Genomic DNA, 24,704 nt, shown 5'->3' with positions numbered 1-24,704 from the left:
GCTGGGCCTGGCCTGTGGATGGCATGGGGAAAAGCAGAGGCTGCTGAGAGTGGCTAACTACAGAGATCAAAAATTCCCAGCTTGGGCCTTGATGATGCATTCACTTGTGGTGGGTGGGTGCAATAATAGTTGGTTGACAACACATTTAAGCAGTGAGAGAGTATATGGGCTTCAGCACCTAGGATGTATACAATGTAAATGCATGCAGCCTGTCTCTGGCCTAATAGATGGCTTTTGACTCTTCAAATCCTGATAGTCAAGTCTTAATAAAATAAAATAATAAATGTAGAACTGGACTATGTATTGGTTTCCATTTTGGATACATTACTAAATTGGTACCATTCTGTAAGAAGGCCAGCAAAGCCATAATCAAAAAAATAGTACAACATGGCACGTTTGTCAAGCACTACAAAGTTGGAGGTGTATTTACTGTAACTGAATCACTAAGAGAGCAGTGACTCCCTGACTAGGCCCAGTTGTCATTTCACCAGAGCTGACACTCTTCGCAACTATTGAGGAAATGGGGAAGCTGTGTAATATCCCTGCTGAACACGAGACTGGGCTCTGGACTAATATATGAGCAGTACTCACGAGTAGCCAAGCAAGTCAGACAATATGATCTAGGACTCTGGGCTCTCCAGAGCCAAGTGCTAAGAATTGGGCCCCAAAGTGAAGAAATTCCATGACTGAGACTGACCCTGGTCTTGTGGACAGAGGGATCTGACTTCTCTTGGTTGTCAGGAGTCTCATTTGTCGCATACACAGCCTGTGGACTTAGAGACCTGAGAAATACTTGTTTTGTGAACCTTTAAAGGGCTTGAGCAACACTGCATCACTGACGTGACTCTTTTTGAAAGATGCATCTGAGACTGAAATCCATTGAGACAGTCCTGGGAGTGAAGGGGAATTGCAGAGGCTGAGTAGGTATGGTCAGGGGGGATTGCTTACATGGCCCATACATGTTTCCCCGGGTGGGACATTTAGTTTGTCAGGTTTCCGGCTACTAGCAACAAGATTCTCAGGAGCTATCCTTTTTTTCCCACTCCCCTCCCATCCCCACCCAAGATAGAGTCTTGCTGTGTCACCCAGGCTGGAGTGCAGTGGTGTGATCTCGGCTCACTGCAACCTCTGCCTCCTGGGTTCAGGCAGTTCTCCAGCCTCAGCCTTCTGAGTAGCTGGGATTACAGGTGCCTGCCACCACACCTGGCTGGTTTTTGTAATTTTAGTAGGGACAGGGTTTCACCATGTGGGCAGGCTGGTCTCGAACTCCTGACCTCGTGATCCACCTGCCTTGGCCTCCCAAAGTGCTGGGATTACAGGCGTGAGCCACCACGCCTGGCCTATCTTTTATTTGGCTAGTTTGCACAAAGATCTGAACCAAGGGAAGAAGCAGCCCTACTTGGAGCTGAAAGATACCAATGGGTAACTGCATGTGTGACAAAGAAAGCCTGGCAAAACAGATTAATACACAACCCTGTGCACCTGTCCCATGGCCTTTTCATAACCATTTTTCTTTGCCCTAGATGTGCTAAGATTTCATTTTTTCCTTTTTTTTTTTATTTAAAAAAAAAAAAAGGCTCTCAGGTCTGTTGCCCAGGCTGGAGTGCATTAGTGTAGTCTCGGCTCACTCTGCAGTCTTAGCCTCCTAGAGGCTCAAGCGATTCTCCCATCTCACTCTCCTTAGTAGCTGGGACTACAGGCATGCACCGCTATGGCTGGCTCATTTTTGTATTTTTTGTAGAGACAGGGCTTCGCCGTGTTGCCCAGGCTGGTCTTGAACTCCTGGGCTCAAGTGATCCACCTATGTTGGCCTCCCAAGGTGTTGGGATTACAGGTGTGAGCCACTGCGTCTGGCTGCTAAGATTTCTTTGACCTTTGACTCTCATTGCTATTTGCCCCTCCCATTATCTGTGATGAAAGATAAGACTATGGAGGGCTTCTTGGTGTCTGTGGACTCACCTTGAAGGCTTATCCTGTATCATCGTGTGACTGTGCCAGTGATGGGAGCTGCATCTGAAATGTGTGAGGTTGTGCCTAAACTCTGTGGCATTGCTATGGAAAATATGGTGGCTACAGATGTGTAAACATAGACGTTACCAGAATTTCCAAATGGACCAGTCAGTGTCACATTTTGGGATGATACCTTCCTGTAGGAGGTCTACAGTACCACTGAGGATGGCTTGGAGTTTGTTACTCTTCCAGTTCTTTTGAGGGAGAAGAATTTAGGCAGTTGAGTACTTCCTCTGGGGCATTGTTACTTAGTTACTGCTGATTTCTGTCCCAAAGCACCCACTAACCCCTGATTACTTGTATTAGACTATTTGTGAACATATTGACTACTACATAAAGCAGCCTTTGTCTGATGAGTCTGGCATCCCTGGAGCCAGGGGCCTGCAGCAGCTCCATGGGCAGTTGTGAAGGAGGAGAAGAAATAGAGCATTGAGAGAAAGGCAAAGACATATTTTCAAAAATAGAAGGCAATGGGGAGGATTTGCCTGACCCTTATAGGGCCATCCCAAAGAAAATCAAATGCCTGCCTTTCCCAAAGAGTCTTTTTACCCTAGCTCCGTAAAGTCCTATAGAACAGCTGACAGAAATTCACATGCGCATCTGATGGAAAACATCTTAAACCACCACTTGATCCACAGTTGCTATTGATTGGGATAATGAAATGTGGAGTCTTTTTAAATATAAAACAAGATTCTGCAGTTTTTAAGAATTACGTGAGTATGCTGCAGCCTCAGAAGAAGAAAGCTGCTGTGGCCCTATAGGAGTTATAGTGAGCTCTTGCCACCATGGAGAGCCTCAGGGACTTTGTTCCAGTTTTAAGAAGCATCAACAAGCCACAAAAGAAATTTGATAGGTGGTCCTTGCCCGTGATCCTGGTGTATTGAACCATGAATCCTGGAGGGAAAAGCTTGACACAGTCATGAATTGCCCATTAGAGCTCTGAATATGGTGGCATTTGTCTGTGTCCTGGAAGAAGTCCTTATGTGTATGATCTTACTGTAATACCCAGTCTTTATGGACCCATGGCAGTTGACCACTATACTTCATGTACAAAGTAAACATAGGAATGGGAAATGGTATTACTTTGAAAATGGCAACGTGTCCCTAGACTGTTAAGGATCAAATAGTGATGCAAGCAGCATATGTGCTTTTTAACCTACATCAAGATGCTGAGTTTTACAAAACACCTTCATGCATTCATTTTCCAGGTTCCCTTGGTGCAAGGAAGACAGCAGCTCATAGTAGGGCTTGTGGGATGGTGACATGCAGTGTGGACAGACAAGAACCTGCTGCAGAGACCATCTCCCATCTTTGACTCCAAGGGCTGCCAGTGTACAGACTGACAGCCAGATGAGAACATTCCATGTTTTTAATGGGCAGAAGAAAGAAAAAGGCCCTCTTTGTTTAGGGAGTTATTTTAAGAAGCTGGATTATTTTTCTTCTAAACAATTTGTGAGAAATATCTATAAATCTTGTGTAGCTCTAAGGTTGAAGAAAGGAAGAAGGGTTGACAAGAATATTTCTTTTAAAGATCCCAAAGAGTAGAGAGGATATGTGCTGTAATTCAGCTGGCAGCAATCTCCAAGTAGTTCCTTTGGTGCAGCCAGAAGACTTAGCAGTACTGGCCCCCTTCTCCTTATAAATTGTATTTCTGAGTTCATGGATTTATGTTCCCTGATGTTGTGTGTTAGTTACCCTGATGGCCTGTCTCATAGTAAATCAGGACTGACATAAACTCAACATTTCTTCTTTTAAAACACATAATTGTGTGCACACTCACCCCAATTTGAAGAGGCACCTCCTTACCTGAGAAGGGATAATTTTGACATCTGAAAGAATAATGATTATAGTAGACTCAAAACTATCAAATATGTAAGTGTGCTTATAATAATTATACTAAAGCCACTGGAGGTTGCACTAACTCACTGCTGCTCCGAAGATTGATGAAGGAAGAGAATCATTTATTTCAAGGTGACCAGCTGTTGATGTGGTCAAGCTCTTTATGGAAACATTTCGGCTAATACAATCAAAAGGGTAATAGAATTAGAAAATCATTATTCCACAATTCATAATCATATAATGGGTCTAGGTAGCTATCATCAATGGATGCCGAAGCTTGACGGGGAACTTCATGGTAGAGGAATCAGGCTGACATCCCCTGAACTCCTGATCAATCTTGACACCACTGAAAACAGGGCAAACCACCTTCTGTGCCTTATGATGTAGCACCATATGAAGTATGCAACATTTTCTGTGAAGTTTTTTGTTTCTAAAATTTTTACCCCAAGTTTAATCAAGCTTATACAACTAATGACTGGCTTTAAAAATATATGGGAGGTAGAGCAACAAACCTTATACTTCGAGGAAGCAATATACCTAATCTAGAATGCGAAGTCATTCTTCAGGTCAAAAGTCCTGGTTTCTCCAGTAGAACAACAGCATTGGGGAAAAAGTGTGTGTGTTTGGAGATGGCAGGGGTTATGTTTATAGAATAAAGGAGACTTCAGAGACCTAACTAAGTGCGGTGTGGGGCTCTAGTTTTGAATTCTGATTCAAGCTGTAAAAGGACATCTATACTAAACTACATCTGGAGAAAATAGAAAATGTATCTGAGATTTGCTTTAAAATAATCTAGAGTGGGAGTTGGGTAGAGTAGGTAAAGATTGTTCATGGGTAAGTACATTACTGAACTGGTAGATATATACATATTATACTTTTTTCTCTATTTTTGTATATGTTTAAAATTTTCAACAATAAAAGGATAACAGGAAAAGAAATTTTGAGGCACCTGGGAGATCTGAATCGAAAGACAAGGTGTTAGGTGATTTTTTAAAATTGTGATTATTTTTGTGGGGTTGTAATGCTGTGGGTTTTTAAAGTCTTATTAGAGATGCATGTTAAATATCTGGGTTAAATGGCATGTCTAGAATTTGAGTTTAAATAAGGACAAAAAGAAATGTGTATTTTTGTGGTGTGTGTGTTTTAGGGCAGACTGGCTTTGGGGCCAAAAGCATTTGAAACAAGAATGGCAACATGTTGATAATTATTGAACCTGGTTGGTGGGTCCCTGCTATTTGTTCCTTTCTTGTGTATGTTTGAAATTTCCGTAATTTAAAGTTAAAAAGTAAATCTTTGTTAGAAGTATTCAAGTAGTAGTGGTAATTAGAAAATTTGGAGGAAAATGTTAAAGTACAATAATTGTGGACAACTTTTGTCACAGTTGCAAGTAGGGTAGGGTGTCATCAGAGCATGAAACATAAAAAATTCTTTGAGTGTGTCACAGTACTACCACAAAGTGTTCCGCTGGTGCTGTCCAGTGGCCTTTGCTTAGAAAGCTCGCATATTTGCCCCACTGGTTCCCTGTCACATGAACTTGACTTTATTTTTGCTTTAAATATGGAAAATTGTTAGAAATATGTGTGAAGGCTAAACTTTATATTTTATAAAATTCCAACTATTAATATATTATCAATAACCAGGAAATTGATGGTTGGGTAGGGGTGGTGCTGATGGTTACAGGTAGAATACAAGTTATCAGATAACTCAGAATTACCAGTAAAGTCACACTACTCAAATGGGATACAGAATAGATTGAAAACACTTTATGCTGAGTGAGACTAAAATGATTCTGAGTTTGCTGACACTTCATTCTTACATGAGTGTTACTCTCCCTGCTTCTGTTGCCCTTTTCTACTGTGTCAGACAGTGTTATGTCTTAAATTCTAATTTCCAGAGTGCACATTTTAGTTCATGAGTTATTTCTATCCTTCTGACAGACCCTGTAACATTATTTTTATTTGGTTAACCTACCAGTGGACATACCAGCAGACAGAATTATCTTCCAGGCCCAAAACAGGCAAAACAAAAGTTTTGTTCAAAATTACCTAGATACTGGTGTTGATACTCCTTGTGCTTGATGCTCATTGAATCAGCTCCTTGAGTCTTTATGAGAGGACTTTTCTTAGGAGTTGTTTTTTTTTTTCTGAGCAACTTTTTTTTTTTTTCACTTGAGCAACTTAAGATGGGCATAACCTTCCTACTCTCTCTCTCTCACACACACACACACACACACACTGTCTCTCTCTTTCATTTCCATATTATAATGCAAGTTATTGAAGTTCTTCTCTTTGTCTTTTATTCCCCTGCTCAAACGTTTTTAATGATTTTCAGAATTTTGTTGCAAGTTATAGATTACACATTATCATGTGGACTACCATTTAATAATTACTGTCTTGCCTCTTATGAGACAGTGAAGGGTGTTCCCAAGTTGTGGTAGACAGGGTGTGTTCCTCTTTGCTTGTGATACTACCAGTACTAGTTTTCATTGGTCCTAAGGTGCATATTTTAGCATTGCCGAAATCCAGAAGTGTCTTAAAATTGCTGGTGACCAGGTGTCAGCTGTGACGTATTATCATTGCCTGCACCTGTGCAACTTTGATGTTATTGGCATGGCGTGACTGGTTAGCTGTACTCCCTGGCTTTTCAGTTAATAAATAATTTAAGGACATTTTGAGAAAGAAGCATGAATCCTGGCTGTTGTCTGAAAACTTTTCATTGATGGATTCTCATAAGATCCAGATTGTATCCCCATTAACACATCCAGTTAATGGTGTCAGTGACTTGCAGAGAAATCTGAGACATTAGTGGAATGAAATACAGTTTTAAAAGATACTTTTCTCTCTAAAATTCCTGCTTGCACATAGGAGAGTGTCATGTGGAAAAATGTATGCATTAATGACTGAGTGAAAAGTGATTCAGAAGTTTCTTCTGTACAAAAGGGAATATGTTAATTCATTTTGCTTCCATTTCTTTGCCATATATACATAGTATTTTCTCTTTCTCAATAGTACATAATTAAATTACATCACTGACATCCTAGCATCAGTGAAATATGGTATCTACTTTTCAATATGTAGATTTTTTGCAGCTAAGACATTTTAATTTTCTAAAAAATATATTATTTTGGCTCTGAAAAATCAGAGTGAAGTCTTGCGGTAATTGGGAATTGGATATACTGCGAATCAGAAATGAGTATACTTGCTATTTAAAACGAACAGTTGGCCGGGCACTGTGGCTCACGCCTGTAATCCCAGCACTTTGGAAGGCCGAGGCAGGCTGATCACGAGGTCAGGAGATCAAGACCATCCTGGCTAACATGGTGAAACCCTGTCTCTACTAAAAATACAAAAAAATTAGCCGGATGTTGTGGCAGGCGCCTGTAGTCCCAGTTACTCAGGAGGCTGAGACAGGAGACTGGCGTGAACCCGAGAGGCGGAGCTTGCAGTGAGCCAAGTTCGCGCCACTGTACTCCAGCCTGGGCGACAGAGCCAGACTCCGTCTCAAAAAAAAAAAAAAAAATACGGTTGATGACTACATAAAAGTAGATTAAAGCATAAATAGCAGTATTTTGATAGCCATCAGGCTCATTTAATGACAACTGAAATGTTGATTATCCTTATTTGTTAACTTAACCTGGTTTAAAAGATTACCATTTCTGTTCCACCCAGAGAAAAGGCAGTGGAAAATATTTTTATCACTCACCAGATTTTAAAAATGAAATTCATTAGTTTGTTCTTTCTTTCCCCTCACTTCCCAGTTTGGTTTTTTTCTTTCCCACCTCCAATATGTGCATGTATTTTGAATGGGGACTGCTAAGGATGAATCGTTATAAAAAGTTGTGACTTTATCTGTAAAGCTTGGTGTCCTATGAAAAAGGAAAACCATTCATAGCCAATGTGGCAAGATGTCAGCATCTTTAATTTTAATGTTGGAACATGGATTTTTTTCCTACCTTTCTGGACTTGTGAAATATTTTGTAACCTTTTTTCAAAGGTTATTTTCCTATTTTGGGTTGATAATGATCATAAGGGCTATATGATTTTTAGGCTAAAATAAAAATAGTGTAACTGAAATTGGGCAGGATCCTGTATCTATCTTGGAGAAAATGTTTAATCTTCCTGCAGATGATTTGAAATAATTTTTCTTTCTTACGGTTATAGGGCTATGCACCACCGCCTAAAAATGGGATTGAACAGAAGCGCCCTGGACGCCCCTTGAATATTACATCTTTAGTTAGGTTATCTTCAGCTGTGCCAAACCAAATTTCCATTTCTTGGGCATCAGAAATTGGGAAGGTAAAAGCTCTCCGTTTTGGGTAGCAGGACAGTGACCCCACTGAGGGTTGACTTTCTGTGTTTTTTCTTAAGCTGTTGGCTTCAGCTCTTTCTGTTTTTGGATTGTAATCTCTAAAAAGCAGTAATTTTCAGTTTAGAGGTGGCAGTGTGGAGATTCTTAAAGTTAAAAACTTTAACTCTGAGCTTTCCTGAATATCATCTCTTTATTTTCCTGGAAAGGAAATATGCATATTTATATTTCTTAAGGTAATGGTTTAACCACAATTGTATGTATGTTTGTGTTTAGTATTTTAATAAACTAGAAGCTTTGGATGATAAATATTTATGAAGAGGAACAAAGAAAGTTTTATCCGTTTGGGGGAGAAATGGTTAAATGTACACATGTTGTGATTAGAAATAATCTGTTCTAGCCTTTCTATAAACAACTGATATTTCAGATAACCTGTAAGCATTTGTATAAAAATATTTACTTAGAATTATAATATTTTCTCTATACCTTCAAGTTGATGAACTTGACTTTCTGTTGATTTTTGGTCTTATAATAAATTATGTCAATTTTGAGATACCAGTTAATACAACAAGGAATTTACATTTTAGAATTACTTGTTTATATAACTGAAATAATGAATGGAAAGGAGATTTCAGTTAATTTCTGACCATCAGCTTCAGTGTTAATATTACATGAAGCATCAGTTTCAGTGTTCTTATTACATGTTCCTAAACAGAATAATATTCCTGTTTTATGGATGGAGAAATTGAGGCATTATTTATAGCAGGAATTTTTTGTTTTACCACCAAGGTAATTGCAGAGCTGGGAGTAACTTTACAGACATTGGAATAAATGATTGTAGACATTGAAAACTTTTGCCATGTAATGGGGATAATACTCTTCCTTATAATTAAAATGATTAATTGACCTAGAATTTACACCATAAGTTGGGTATTTAGATATCTAAAAGAACATTAAAAAATATTTAAAATACTTGGTTTGGCAGCTATTAAAAGTATGATGTTTATTGTAGAATCAATTGAATGAATATATTTAATAAAATGGGAAGATAGGTTTTTTTTTTTTAACATTTATGTGAAATTATATTTTGTCTGTTCATAGCTCTATAAATAGCTAATGAAGGTTCCTTTGTGCCAGATCTAACAGGTATGGGATTGGACGCTGTTGTTTTCTGGCTTGACTTTTTAATTTTTATCATTCTTCATGTGTCTTACATACTATAGTAGCTGCTGCTTGTCAATAAAATACCCATTTGGGGTACAGGAGTTAATTTATCAAAGCTTTCCTCAGAAGAAAGCTGATACCTGGTTCATTTGCGTGATTTACTCAAAGGCCATGTAGTAGCAGGTGGTTTCTTCTGCCAGAATTAGAACTTTGGAACTCTGGATTTGCAGTGTTAATTCAGACCACTGGCCTTTGGAATTTGTTTCTGCAGTGGAATTCCTCTTTTAAGTGAAAATATGAGAACCTCATTACATAAAGTCGATAAAAGCAGAATGATTTTGGTTAGCAAGATTCTGGTTAGTCATAGGAGGGTACATTTTCAGGGTGGCCCCTAAGGTACCAGTTTTGCTAAATAAGAACCATAGTTTGGAAACCATTGATCTAACCTATATTCCCATACCAGCGAATGTTTTAAAGTGATAAATGATCAAGAAATACCTTTAAAATGATTGAGCTTTTATTTTCAGTGAAGTAGCTTGGTGAATTTTGTCCCCTTCGCAGTGATTGACCATTCCATGGAAGTTATTTTGAATGTTATTTTTAGAAACCAGAGTTTCTTAAATAAGTATTTCATGTAAACAAAGAGAATATTATCTCTCATCTTTAATGCAGGTTTTTTTTGTTTGTTTGTAGAATTACTCTATGTCTGTATATCTTGTACGGCAGCTTACATCAGCCATGTTATTACAGAGATTAAAAATGAAAGGTATTAGAAACCCTGATCATTCCAGAGCACTAAGTAAGTAATGTTTAATAAGACCAAGCATTTAAAAAAAAAAAAAAAGATTGAGCATATGAGATACTTTAATGCTTTAAATATTGCTCACATCAATATATTAGTATATATTTGTTAGCTTGTGTATATACTAATTTATATACATTACTGGTGAGTAAAATTGTAGACACATTACCACATAGTAGTTTTTAATTATCAAAGGAAGTATAAATATTTTTATCTTTTCTGTTTACAAATTTAATAATTGTTGGAAACAAACAATAGTGCATAATAAAAACTGTGATGAATGTGTGTTGGAAAAGCTTTGACGCTCAGGGTACTGCTGCATTCCAGCTTCCTCTCCTAATTGTTGTTTTGTTCTTAAGTCTTACATAGCTTTCTATTTTGAAAGTCTTGCTTGCCAGCAGTTTTACTTTTAAAAAGAAATTTTAAGAATTTAAACAAAGAAATTTGCATGTTCATAATTCTTTAACTTATATTGGGAGTGTGATCGTGTTGTCAATACATTAATATGTAACATTTTGTTTTAAGATGCTATATATTTCTATAATTCCATTTCTTTGTCACCCTTAATTTTTTTAAATTTTTTTTTTTCTCTTCTTTTTAAAGTTAAAGAAAAACTTACTGCAGATCCTGATAGTGAAATTGCTACAACTAGCCTTCGGGTATCCTTGATGTGCCCTGTAAGTAAAGCAACAAAACATTTTGGGGAATTTGACTTTTTATAAATGATTAACTTTCCTATAAAAGTAAGTGTGGGAATGAATGATATATTATGAAGAATGCTGAACTTTTGTCTTTTCCCATTAAGGAATCTTCATGATTAAGTCACAATTCTTTGTATTATTTGGGCATGCAAAGAATACAAAGAAGAGGGAAGATAGCTTTAGGCTCAGAATAATCTGTTGTAATTAATGTTGTAGATAATATACAGCTAGTAATAAAAATATATTAAGAGCTGACTCCTTTTATCAGAATATAAATGATACTGAAAAATAGCAATAAAGTGACTAGGGCCTGATAAATGCTAATTGATGGTCTTAGTTTAGTGAGTTAGGATGTGTAGGATGTCTTTGTAATGTTCTTTTAAATTGCACAATAATTTTTCTTTTATATCTCCTTACATAGAAAGTATGAGGGAGAAATCAGTCAGCAACTCTCACATCCTCCTGTGTACTTGCCACTGAGCTAATTGTGGGAGAAAATATTGAGGCTTGCTTAGAATGTTAATAATTGAGTTTGAAAAATAAAACCAACTCCCATAAAAATGGTGCAGACTTCACTTACAGTTAGGCTGTTTTACTACCAAGAGGAGATGGGAGGGTCAGGAGCAGTGAATGAATTGGAGGGGAACCCTTTCCGGTTAAGAAGAACTTAATGAGAAAAAGTCATGGAATCAGGAATTTATAATGTAGTTTTGTGGGTATTTGATGACTACCCACCATTTTGAGAAATGTGCAGTTTTTTAAATGGGGAGAAATTGTGTCAGAAAAGAGAATGATTTGTTGAGTCTCTACTGTATGTTCTTTTATTTAACTGTCTTAGCAAACCTGTGTGGAGGAGTTGTCTTCATTTTGTAGATGAAGAAACTGAGACTGAATGAGGTTGGCTAACCCAAATTACACAGTTATTGGTAGAACAAGGATAAAGATTGTAGTGTTCTGATATTCCTGTTCTTTTTCCAATATACCATGCTGCCAGATTGGGCTGAAATATACATGTCCTGATTACAAGTACATCTCTTTTATTCTGGAAAGTGGTATTTGCAGATCTTTTTTTGAAGTGTCACTCTTTTAATCTTCATTAACTTAAAAACATGAATTTGCCTTTATTGAAATATAATTTTTTGATATGAGGATTGCTTGGATACTGGGAACCTGCTCTTAGCAAACGCAGGGAAGAGGTGTGCAGTTCCAGTAGGGTAAGACCTGAAAGCCCTGAGGGTGTTGGCAGAGGTTCTAGGAGGCATGCGGAAGGACACACGACTTCCTCTGAGTGCAGGCTCTATGCAAACCTTCAGGCATGAGTTCTTTTCAGTATCTTCAGGTTATTATACTTTTCTTCGCTCTCATGTTAAAATCAAAATTGATAGTAGATTGAAACAAGTGAAATTGCCTTTTTGTTGGTTAAAAAACAGTTGGATATTGACGATTTTTTATTATGTATCCCTAGTATATTCAGCAAACATTAATTGCCAGCTCTATTCCACATACAGTCACCATATGGGGAGGAAACTCGTGTCACCATTATGTTTTAGATGTCAAACTATTGTATCAGGAAGAAAGTCTACACAACTTACCTAAGGAGTTTTACAGTTGTGCAGTGCCATTTTCTTAGAATCTTTTAAATTTTTTTTCTTCATACAGTTTGCCATTCTACATGAGAGCAACCAAAACAAAATACAATGGCCAAACATACTAACAGATTCTCAGGCTTTTTAAATTTTTTTTTTTTTTTTTGCATTCATAACATATCCTTTTTTTTTTTTTTAATTTATTTTAAATTTTTTTTGAGACAGGGTCTCTCTCTGTTGCCCATGCTGGAATGCAGTAGCATGAACACAGCTCACTGCAGCTTCAACCTCCTGGGTTCAAGTGATCTTCCCATCTCAGCCTCCTGAGTAGCAGGGACTACCGCCACACGCCACCACACCTGGCTAATTTTGGTGTCTTTTGTAGAGATCTTTCGCCATGTTGCCCAGGCTGATCTCAAACTTCTGACCTCAAGTGATCTGCCCATCTTGGCCTCCCAAAATAATGGGATTACAGGCATGAGCCATCTCACCTAGCCAAACTTTCAATAATAGTGAAAGTAGTGTATCAGAGAGGTTAGGATTCCTTCTATGTAAGAATAGGGAGCAGTTCCTTCCAAACATTACCAATTTTTAAGAAAATTAACTTTTCAGTTACTTGAAGAAATGAAGTAACAGATCAAATAGGTTTTTGAAATCTTGTTTTAAGTTTCTGAAATGTTTTTTTCTCTCTGCTCAGAAGTGACAACAGGTCTATTCGTGAGACTGTCTTTTGAGCTTTTCCTGGGGGTTCATCAATCTTTTCAGAGCACTTTCTAAGAAAAGAATGAATGCTACTCTTTGGGCTATAGTAGTAGTGTTAACATAAAGTTGGGTAGCTAAACTGTAATATGTGGTATATATTAATTAGAATACCAGACACAGGTGTTTTGATTAGATTTGGTGGATGGATGACAGAAGTTAGATGATGAAAGCAGTGTTTGAGAAAGAGTAAGTCCTATTATCAGTTGGAGAAAGCAGAATGGAGTCCAGCCAGCTAACAATGGAAATAACATGGGATCTGGTGCAGTAATGGGAAACGGAGAAGGAAAAAAATAAATCCCAGGCACTTAAATAAGAAGTGAACCCTGGGTTATTTGGCAAAAACAAGAGAAAATGATAGTGTAGGGTGATAGAATAAATGTTTATTACATTTCACAGTATTTTCGTAAAGTGATTTGCAGTGGACGTGAGTCTGAAAAGTGGGAGCAAATTCTAAAACCTCTGTCCTTGGGACTAAAGGAAGGTAATGTCACAGTAGTTACTGAAGAGGATCTAATTGAGTGTGCATAATTATATTTCTGAACACCATATCTGAATTTTACATAGGAGTTTCACTTTGGTGATTTCAGCTAGTGATTTTCAGTCTGTCCTGCAGAGGTGGACTGGGTAGCTGGGGGAGAGAAAAAGAAAGAAAGAAAGCTAGGTTTGATTTTATCTCTTGAGATTCTAGTATGTTTAAAAAAAAAAAAAAAGTCCTGCTGAAAAGAGTTGGAAACCACCATTTTGGGCCTTTTCAACTTAAAAACTCTCTTAATTTAGATTGGTAGTAATTAGTCTACAGTGAATAGAATTTGGATAATGCCAGCTTAACATTTTATAGGAAAAAAGTGTTGCATTACTTAGATAACCATTCATAAAAATAATAAATTTCAAAAAAGCATCATCATCTGATTAAATTAGAATTAGAATTTATTTTGGTGGCACATTCAGGTCCTTTTTAATAACATGCCATAGTCACTAGGCAATTGATAAAATTTTGCTAGCTGGTAACAAATTCCTTCTTAGGAAATGCTCATTAGTTCTTATAAGACCACTAGAGTAGAATTAAATTTAGGGTCAGCAACTTTTATAGTCCTGGATATTCTCGTTTCTGTATGCTGTGGAAATTTTAAGGCTGTGACAGGAGAGATGGAAACAGCATAGAAGAAAACGACAAAAACAATCCCTAAACAGCAGTTTGCAAAATGTGGCCCATGGATACCTGAAGGTCCCTGACACTCTTTGAAAAGAACTACAAAGTTAAAACTTTTTATAATAATATGGACACACAATTTTGGCATTTTGTGTTCTTTTTCTCTTAGGAGCATAAAGTGATGTTTAACGTGGGTTACCCAATAGATGATGATGATGTCATTGCTCTGATGGCTAATGGAATGTGTGCTTGTGTACTCTTGTCTTTTAAAAATATGTTTTAATTTCTAATATACAAATATTGATAACTATAGCCCACATACATAAAATGTCTTTGAGGTCTTAATTTTTTTTTTCTTTTTCTTTCTTTTTGAGATAGAGTCTTGCTCTGTCATCCAGGCTGAAGTGCAGTGGCACGATCTCAGCTCACTGCAACTTCCGCCTCCTTGGTTTAAGCAATTCTCCTGCCTCAGCCTCCCAAGTAGTTGGGATTACAGGCACCTGCCATCATGCTCGGCTAATTTTTATATTCTTAGTAGAGACGGGGTTTCACCATGTTGGTCAGGCTGGTCTCGAGCTTTTGACCTCGTGATTCCCCCGCCTCGGCTTCCCAAAATGCTGGGATTACACGTGTGAGCCACTGTGCCCGGCCTTTTTTTTTTTTTTTTTGACAGAGTTTTGCTCTTGTCGCCCAGGCTGGAGTGCAGTGGTATGATCTCGGCTTACTGCAACCTCTGCCTCCCAGGTTCAAGTGATTCTCCTGCCTCAGTCTCCCGAGTAGCTGGGATTACAGGTGCCCACCACCACACCCAGCTAATTTTTGTATTTTTAGTAGAGATTGGGTTTCACCATGTTGGCTGGGCTGGTGTCGAACTCCTGACCTCAGGTGATCCACCCTCCTCGGCCTCCCAAAGTGCTGGGAGCCACCGTGCCTGGCCTAGGTCTTAATCTTTAAGAGTTTAAAGGGGTTTTGAAACCAAATGAGAACTGATAACTGTAAAAACCGTGGTAGGCTGAGTTAGAACGTTATTTTAAAGAAAAAATTATAAAAATTGACAAATAGGTACTTATAGATTATTCAAATAGAACCAAAAAGTAAAAATGATCATTTTAAATTCACAAGGTCTGTTATTCAGAAGTAACATTACTAGTAGCATGATAGATTTTTCCAGATTTAATTCTCTATATAATTATATGTATGTTTATTGGAAAGTATATATACTGTCCTATGGCTTGCTGTTTTTTAATTAACAGTGTATCTTAAGTATATTAGTATGTGTAGATTGGTCTTATTTTAATCATTGTGGGCATTTTGTTGAATAGGTATAGTGTAATTTAATAATAAGTTTAGTGATTGAGTTGTTTCCACACAGTGATTGTGTAAAAAAGCCAACTCACTTACATTGGTGGAAAATTTCTAAATAACCAGCCAATATTTATGTTGGTACTACTTAAAAAGAATAACATGTGATTTTTAAAAAGGATAATATGAAAATCTATTAAAATTATTCATTTTATAATTGAAAGGATATAAAAAACCGGTTATCTCATTGGGTGCTGAATAGGTATTTAGTCAACGTTCATTTTTAATAGAACAAAAACTTAGCAAAGGAGGAAAAGGTGGGTAATTAAATTAAAAAACTAACACCATTTGTAATGTTATAAAACTGGCATGTCTCTGGGATGTGAGGACCATTTGGATTTGTGATATAGCTCCATCAGCTGTGTCTCAGTGAGTGTGTGGTTTTAACCTCTTGTAGCCTCAGCATCTTCATTTCAGAAATAGAAATGTAGATACCAGCTTTTCTGGAGTCATAGAGTTATGAAGATTTTATGAGATTTATATAAAAGCCTTGGGCATACTGTAAGATTCTGTTTAAGAAATAATTTGTTTTTAAAGGCAGGAAAAATATAGAAAGATGTATCATAAGAAGAGAAGCTGCCCCAGGTTTTATTCTGACCTTTTTCTGTTCTAAGTGATGAGTTATATCGTGCCACATACCTTGATCGAATCACAGTAATTTCGAGGCTCCCTTTTAGAACTCTGGTTAGACACTTAGATAGAGGCAGTATAGCAGTGAGAGAGTGGACTCTGCAGGGCTGGAGCTTCCCAGGTCAGACCTGCTCTGCCATTTTCTAACTTTGTAACGTTAGGTTACTTAGCTTCTTTGTGCCTTAGTTTCCTTATTTATAACATGGGGATGGTAATAATACCATCCTTTTAGTATAATTGTTATGTAATTGTGAAAGTGTTTTTGAGAGTAATGTGAAGTAGTAGTCAACACTGTACCTTGCACGTAGGTAGAACTATATAAACGTTACTTCTGTGTTGATGATTCAGCTAAATTATTTTCTTTTTAAATTACCACATTACCAGGTGTTCATTTTAGAGGAATTAGAAATTACAGATGAACCAAAAGAAAAAGAACATCCTAAAAAGCCTGCCTCCCAGGCAGAGCTAAGAATGTTTTAATTTTGCCATGAATTCTTTCAAACTTTATAGCATAAAAATAGGTCCGTCTTCTTCGTTTCCTGTTTGTTCTTTTCCCCATTTCCAGTCCATGTCCATTCATTCTCCTATCTGGTCAACAAATACTGAGCACATACTGTCAGCTAGTATTGTGCTAGGACAGTAGGATTCAGTGGTGAGCAGAGATCTAGACCGTCTTTTTGGAGCATAAGATCTAGTGGGAGAAACAAATTTTCAATCAAAATAGCAGGACTGGTTATAAACAGTGATATTTTCTGTAAAGGAAATATATGGGGAGGTTTGAAGGATTATGTAGGAAAACCTGGTCTGATCAAATCTGAGTGTTGTGTACGTCTTGGTGCCAGTGGACCACTACTAGTTGGAATAAGAATTTAACAGCACTAAAGTTAATCAAAAGTATGTTGAAAAATTGACACAGTTGATTATATAAAAACAAATTTTCATAAATGAAAAATATATTTGCAGTTCATATTACACACGATTTCTTATATAAAGAGTGCCTATAAATAACATAAATGAAAAATATATTTGCAGTTCATGTTACACACGTGATTTCTTATATAAAGAGTGCCTATAAATAGATAACAAAAGATTAATAACCAAATGGGAAATGAGAAAAGGTTATAGGTAGAAAGTTCTTAGAAACACAAGTGACTCTTAGAAGTAAAAGAAGAGGCTCAACTACCACTTAAAATAAGAGGAATGTAGTTCACAACTGTAATGGGATATTTGTCACCTTCCAGATTGGCAGAGACCGAAGAATTTAATAACATTATATTGAAAAGGTTGAGTGGAACAAAGCATGTTAATACACATGTATGCATAACCCAATAGGTACTTTTTGTGGAAGATAGTGTGTTAATGTGACAAAAATTACAAATGTACTTTTCTTTCCATCCAAAAGTTATACTTCTAGGAATTATAAATATTATAAATATAAAAATCTTAGAAATATTCATTACAGCATTGTTTGTAGTGATAAAAGATTGGGAACAATTTAAATGTCAGTCATTAGTGTACTGATTAAATAAATTATGATACCTTCATATAATGGTAGCTTTTTATATACCGATTTGTGTGCAGTAGTCACCAAGTTATATGACAGAAGTGAGTTGGAAAACAGTGTGTATTGTATACTATCATTCCTGGGAAAATATTTCTTTAAATACACACTTGGTTTATGCTTAGAACATCTGTGAAAGGACATGCAAGAGATGGATAACAGTGGTTCTCTAAATAGGGAAACTGGGGACCAGGTAAGAAGGAGTCATACTTTCAATGTATATGAATCTGGATTTACATGTTAACCCGTTTTGAAAAAGTGAAATGGTTTTTCAAAAATCATAGGGCAGTCAATGAATAAAAATATATTGTAATCTTCTTGGGAATACATTCTGATTTGGATTTCTATTTCATTTTTATCATCTTCTTGTATGACATCTTCCGACTTTTACAACTGACCATGTTCCCTCTGAGCTCATTCTCCTTTCTGAAATAGTTTTCCTTGTGTTTCCTGTCCTGTAGTTAGGAAAAATGAGGCTGACAATCCCATGCCGTGCAGTGACTTGTACACATCTGCAGTGTTTTGATGCTGCCCTCTATCTACAAATGAATGAGAAAAAGCCCACCTGGATTTGTCCTGTGTGTGACAAAAAAGCTGCCTATGAAAGTCTAATATTAGATGGGTAAGTATATCCCTTTTAACAGCTGATATGGACTAATACAACAGCTGTTGGCAATGCCTTTGTTCACTACAACTTACTGAACTAAATTCTAAATAAATTCTACTCTAGCATAAATCCAGATGTTTGTATGTTTTCCGTCTTATACCTAATTATACTCAATCTTATTTTTTAAACTGTGGTTAGTGGCATTTTTATCTCTATAATATGATTTGCGTTGAGGGCAATGTTTTTGCTTTCCAAGATTATATTTTATAAAGCCCACAGGAAAGAGGGAAAAGTTTGCTTTGTGATGTCATTTTGCTTACCTAGAATTTCTTGAAGTAGCAATTAGGGTCTATGCAAAAACCAGAGGAAGTGATAGGGTAGATACAGACATAGCTCTTAAGTTCAAAACTGGAATTCATGCCCAGGTATTTCTGACTCTGGAGTCCAAACTTTAAGCATCATCTCTCATATTATATTGCATGTCAGAATTTGGAAAATGACATGAACTAATTTTTAGTATCTTGTTTCAAATAATACTTTTTTAAAAATTGCACGTCATCCATGTACCATGTAAGATTTGGAAAATACAGTTACTGAAAAGATGAAAATAAAATTAGCAGTACCATCCTATGGTGATGACTTTGTTATTGACATTAAAAAAGACTGAAATGATACTTTATGTAATGATTTATATTAATATATACATATGATTTTTACTCAATATATAGTGAAAAGTATCCTAGAGTTTTAAAGATACTTGTACAACTTGAAAATGTTTTAAGCCAGGCACTGTGGTACATGCCTGTAGTCCTAGCTACACAGGAACGTGAGGTGGGAGGATCACTTGAGCCCAGGAATTCAAGGTGAGCTTGGGCAACATAGTGAGTTGCATCTCTAAAATAAACAACAAAAGTTTTACAAGAGTATTATCTGTGGAGAGGAATGGGGAATGAAGAGTGAATGGGACTTTAATGTTCCTTTCTGAACTTTCCTTTGCTGAATTTTTATTTTTAGCTTATTTTGAAAAAATTTTAAACCTACAGAGGAGTTGGAACACTAGCACAAAGAACCTCCCATGTAACTATGACCCAGATGCTTCAGTTGTTAACATTCTATCACAGTTGTTTTATCACTTTCTCCCTTAATATGTGTGCATATACACATTTTTGGTGTGTGCATTTGTGAATGTAGAGAGAGATGATTATTACCATTTTTAGAATTCTTTTGAACCATTTGAGAGTTACATATGTCATGCCCCTTTGCACATTAATATTTTGTGATGTGTTTACTAAATTCTTGATATTCCATATTTGTTTCTACTTTTTCAATTTAAAATTGCCCTGTGATGTTAGCATTTTTGAAGGTGGCATTTTGTGTATGTCTGTGGAGTTTTCTTCAAGTTCTTAGAAATAGAAATACTCAAAGGGAATGTAAGACTTTTACTATTTATTATTAAGATGCCTCCCAGGAGGAGTAAGCTATTTTTCCCTTCTAGTAAATCATTTCACTCTCATGCCAACAGGCATAACATCGTCCACTTCTCAGCCCTCTTAGCAGCCTTACGTATTAAAACTTACTTTAAAAATGTCTACTCTTGGGTGTGGTGGCTCACACCTGTCATCCCAGCACTTTGGAAGGCCAAGGCAGGATGATTGTCTGAGACCAGGAGTTTGAGGCCGCAGTGAGCAATGGTCATGCCATTGCACTCCAACCTGGGTGATGGAGAAAGACTCTGTTTCAAAAGTAAACAAAACAAAATGGAACAACAAATAAAAATGTCTACTAATTTCCTAATTGAAAAGATAGCTATTTTGATTTTTAATTTTTGTATTATAGGAGTTATCAGATATTTCTTTAATTCCATATATTGGTCATTATAATATCTTTTACAAATTGCCTCTTAATATTCCTTTTTTAAAAAAGATTTTGCTATGGGCTTGCTCATCTTTTTCTTACTGGCCTATACATAGTCATTATAGATTGAGGATATTAATTTCTCTGTCCACATGTGCCAAATGTATTTTCCCAGTTTCCCTTTTATTTGTATTTATTGTGACCTTTGTTCTCCATTCAGAAGGTTTACATTTTTTTTTATCAAGTCTTGTCTTTTCCTTTTTGAATGTCTTCCTTGAAAGTGTTTAGAAAGTTGTAGAGATTTTATATGAGCACTTGCTTGTTTTCATCAGGCACATTTGTGATTCCTTTTTCCAGTTGTGCAGTTGTTCCGTCATACATTGCTTCATGAATTCATTCAACACAGTACTTACTAAATACCTATCATGTGTCAGATACTAGGTCTAAAAATGGTGAGCAGGGCACTTCTAGTATGGGAGATGGTAAAAAAAAAAAAGTATATTAAGTGTAAAGTGCTGTGAAGGTAAGGAATGACACTGTGGGAGGAAAATTGGGGATGAGGAAGGAACTTTACAGTAGGGAATAGGTGATCCCATTAAGGTAGGGATCATGTCACCCTAGCACCCAGATTATTCTCAACCACATTTACTTGAATAATCTCTCCCACAGATCTGAGATACTACTTGCATTATCTAATACATTTCTTGTAAATACTAGTGTTAACTTCTGAACTGCTATTTGTTCCATTGATCAAAGTATTACTGGGCCAATACGAAACTATTTTAATTATTAGATTTCTATTATGTGGTAGTATTTCTTAGGCCATTTCTTTTCAGAATTTTTTTGACTAGTGTCATAATACATTCTGCCATGTTCACTTGAATAAAAGCATTCTCAAATTACACAGAACCTTTTTGGGTTTTGATTTACATTATGCTGAATTTTCAGTATAATTGAGAAAAATAAACCTCTTATGAAGTAGGCATTTTTGGCATAAGAACTACTCATGTAAAATGTACAATTTGATAAATTTTGACTTATTATATACCTATGAAATCATTATCCCAGTCAAGATAATGAACACACCCATCACACCTAAAGTTTTCTCATGTATGTTTTCAATCTCTCCCTCTCAGTCCTCAAGCAAACACTGATATGCTTTCTGTTTCTATAGATTAGTTTGGATTTTCTAGACTTTTATATGAATGGAATCATAAACTATGTGCTTCCTTTGTCTAACTTCTTTTACTCAACATACTTGTTTGAGATACATTTATGTTGCATATACCAATAGTTCATTTTTATTGCTGAGTTGCATTCTAACCCACAGTTTGTCATTTCATGCGTTGATGGGTTTTTTCTGTTTTGGGGCTGTTGGAAATACAGCTACTGTGAACATTCATGCCCAAGTCTTTGTGTGGACTGTTTTCATTTATCTTGGGTAAATACTTAGGAGTAGAATGCCTGGTCACATGCCAGGTGTGTGCTTAACTGCAAGAAACTGTCAAACTGTTTTCCAAAGCGGTTGTACTATTTTATATTTCCACCAGCAGTATATGGAGAGTTTTGATTGCTCCTCATTCTCATTAACATTTGGTATGGCTTCTCTTTTTTTTTTTTTTTTTGGAGACAGAGGCTTGCTCTGTTGCCCAGGCTGGAGTGCAATGGCACCATCTTGGCTCACTGCAGCCCCCACCCCCCAGGTTCAAGTGATTCTCCTGCCTCAGCCTCCCCAGTAGCTGGGATTACAGGCACCCACCACCACGCTTGGCTAATTTTTTGTGTCTTTAGTAGAGATGGGGTTTCGCCATAGTGGCCAGGCTGGTCTCCAACTCCTGACCTCAGGTGATCCACCCACCTCAGCCTCCCAAAGTGCTGGGATTACAGGCATGAGTCACCACATCCGGCCAGTTAATCTTTTTAATTTTAGATCATACTAGTGGTATATAGTGGTACTCCATTGTGGGTTTATTTGCATTTTCCTTATTACTAATTGTTTTGAGCATCTTTTTGCGTATTTATTCTCCATCTGTACGTTTCTTTGGTGAAGTGACCAAACTTTTGCCCACTTTTTTTTGTTTGTTTGTTTGTTTGTTTGTTTTGAGATGGAGTTTCGCTCTGTCGCCCAGGCTGGAGTGCAGTGGCATGATCTCAGCTCAGCGCAACCTTCCACCTCCTGGGTTCAAGCAATTCTCCTGCCTCAGCCTCCCAAGTAGCTGGGACTACAGGTGTGCGCCACCACGCCTGGCTAATTTTTGTATTTTTAGTAGAGACAGGGTTTCACCATGTTGGTCAGGCTGGTCTCGAACTCCCGACCTCGTGATCCACCCGCCTCAGCATCCCAAAGTGCTGGGATTACAGGCATGAGCCACCGTGCCTGGCCTTTTGCCCACTTTTTAGTTGGGTTTTGTTTTCATGTCATTGAATGTTGGTGGTTCTTATGTATTCTGGATACAAACGTCTTACCAGGTATATGATTTTTAAATGTTTTCTATCATTTTATCTTTTCAGTCTTTTAACAGTGTATGTCAAAAAGCAGAAGTGTCTACTTTGAATGAAGGCTGGTTTACCAAGTTTTTCTTTTATGAAAGATTGTGCTTTTGGTATTATTTTAAGACATTTTCCCTAACTCAAGGTCACAAATATTTTTTCTGAGCTTCCTGTAGAAGTTTTATAATTTACTTTTACACTTAGGTTTATTATTTCTATCAAGTTAATTTTTATGTATGGTGTAAGATAAAGAACAAGGGTTTTGTTTTTGTTTGGTATATGGCCATGTGATTGCTGCACCATCATTTGTTAAGATTTGTTTTTCCTCATTGAATTGCTTTTGCACCTTTTACAAAAATTAATTGACTATATGTGTGATCTCTGAACTGTTCTATTGATTTATTTGTCTGTAGTTATGTCAATACTGCATTTGCTGGAAGTCAGGTAGTGTGACTCTTCCAACTTTGTTCTTCTTTTTCAAAATTATCTTGGCTATTGTAGATTCTTTGCATTTTCATACAGATTTTGGAATCAGCTTGTCAATTAGGGGAAAAAACCTGCTGGGATTTTGATTTGTTTTTCATTGACTCTGTAGATAAGTCTGTGGTGACATAAGAGTATTGAGTCTTCTGATTTATGAACAGGATGTATCTTTCTGTTTATTTGTCTCAACAGTGTTTTGTAGTTTTCAATGTGTCTTGTACATCTCTTGTCAAGTTTATTCCTAAATATTTCATATCTCTGTGGTATTTAAAAAATTTTTGTGATTATGGCTAATATATAGAAATATAGTTGACCTTTGTATATTGCTGTCATATCAACATATGTTATTCCCATCCCTTAGTAGTTCTAGTAGCTTTATTATAGATTACATAGGATTTTCTATATAGTCAGTAATGTTTTTTAAATAGAGACAGTTTTACTTCTTCTTTCTAACGTGGATGCCTTTTGTTTTCCCACCGCCTTGCATTGACTAGTCTGGTAATACGGTGAATTATGTTGATTGACTTTTGGATATTAAACTAATCTTGTATTGTGGGAATGAACCCCATTTGGTCATGATTTGTTATCCTGTGTATATTTGTTGTTGGATTTGTTTTGCAGAGTTCATGGGGGAATGTTGGGTATTTAGTTTTGTTGCAATGCCTGCCTGGTTTTATTATCAGAGTAATGCTGACCTTGTACAATGAGTTGGAAGTAGTGGTATTATTTCTCCTCAAATATTTGGTAGAATTCCCTAGAGAAGACATTGGGCCTAGGATTTTCTTTGTGGCAAAGTTTTTAACTACAGATCCAACTTATTTAATAGACATAGGGCTTCTTAGATTATCTGTTTCTTTTGGAGTGAGTGTAAATAAGTTTGACTAGAAACTGATTTTTCTGTTTTTCTTTTTTTCTATTTGTTTGTTTTGTTCTTTGTTATTTCTCTTTTCTTGCTTTTACTATAATTTGCTTTTTTTTCTAGTTTCATAAAGTTACTGATTTGAGACTTTATTTCTAATTAGGGAAGATTAATGCTATAAATTTTCCTTTAAATACTACTTCAGTGTTTAAATAATACAGTCCACAAATTTTATTACATTTTTATTTTCATTCAGTTTAAAATCTTATTTTTATCTTTGACTCATGTTTCTTTTGTTTAGTTTCCAAGTTTTCAGGTTTTTCTGGTACGGACTTAATTTGAACTTAATTCAAATACACTTATTTTAAATTTATTGAGACTTCTTTTATTTCCCTTTTCTTCCCTCCTTCCCCTACCCCATTATCCTTTTTTCTCGAAGTTAAAGTTTATAAATTATTTTACTATATAGTAACCTTTATCTGCTGATGTTTGTTTTTTGTGCTGTGTTAGAGGTTGTTCTTACTGCCAGCCTCAGCTAG

The 24,704-nt window shown here is 36.4% G+C and overlaps 1 protein-coding gene and 1 pseudogene across 30 annotated transcripts in view; both read left to right on the top strand.

Moving 5' to 3' along the window:
* Positions 1-24,704, top strand: part of PIAS2 (protein inhibitor of activated STAT 2) — a 116,928-nt gene that overhangs the window by 65,295 nt on the left and 26,929 nt on the right. For 29 of the 30 annotated variants that reach the window (NR_136684.2, NR_148702.2, NR_148700.2 and 26 more), the window contains 4 exons: positions 8,010-8,144; positions 10,012-10,117; positions 10,724-10,797; positions 18,334-18,494. Coding sequence is in view for 23 of the 30 variants with exons in the window: in NM_004671.5 (NP_004662.2) it covers positions 8,010-8,144; positions 10,012-10,117; positions 10,724-10,797; positions 18,334-18,494 (476 nt within the window). In the remaining 7 variants the exon portion in view is untranslated. Of the gene's footprint in view, positions 1-8,009; positions 8,145-10,011; positions 10,118-10,723; positions 10,798-18,333; positions 18,609-24,704 lie in introns of those variants that run through there. The other variant, NM_001324060.2, reaches the window with a different exon arrangement.
* Positions 63-3,273, top strand: LOC100421737 (ubiquitin specific peptidase 4 (proto-oncogene) pseudogene; annotated as a pseudogene).

The sequence above is a fragment of the Homo sapiens genome, chromosome 18 (assembly GCF_000001405.40).
Source record: "Homo sapiens chromosome 18, GRCh38.p14 Primary Assembly".
NCBI lineage: Eukaryota > Metazoa > Chordata > Mammalia > Primates > Hominidae > Homo > Homo sapiens.
This window is presented reverse-complemented; position numbering and strand designations above follow the sequence as displayed.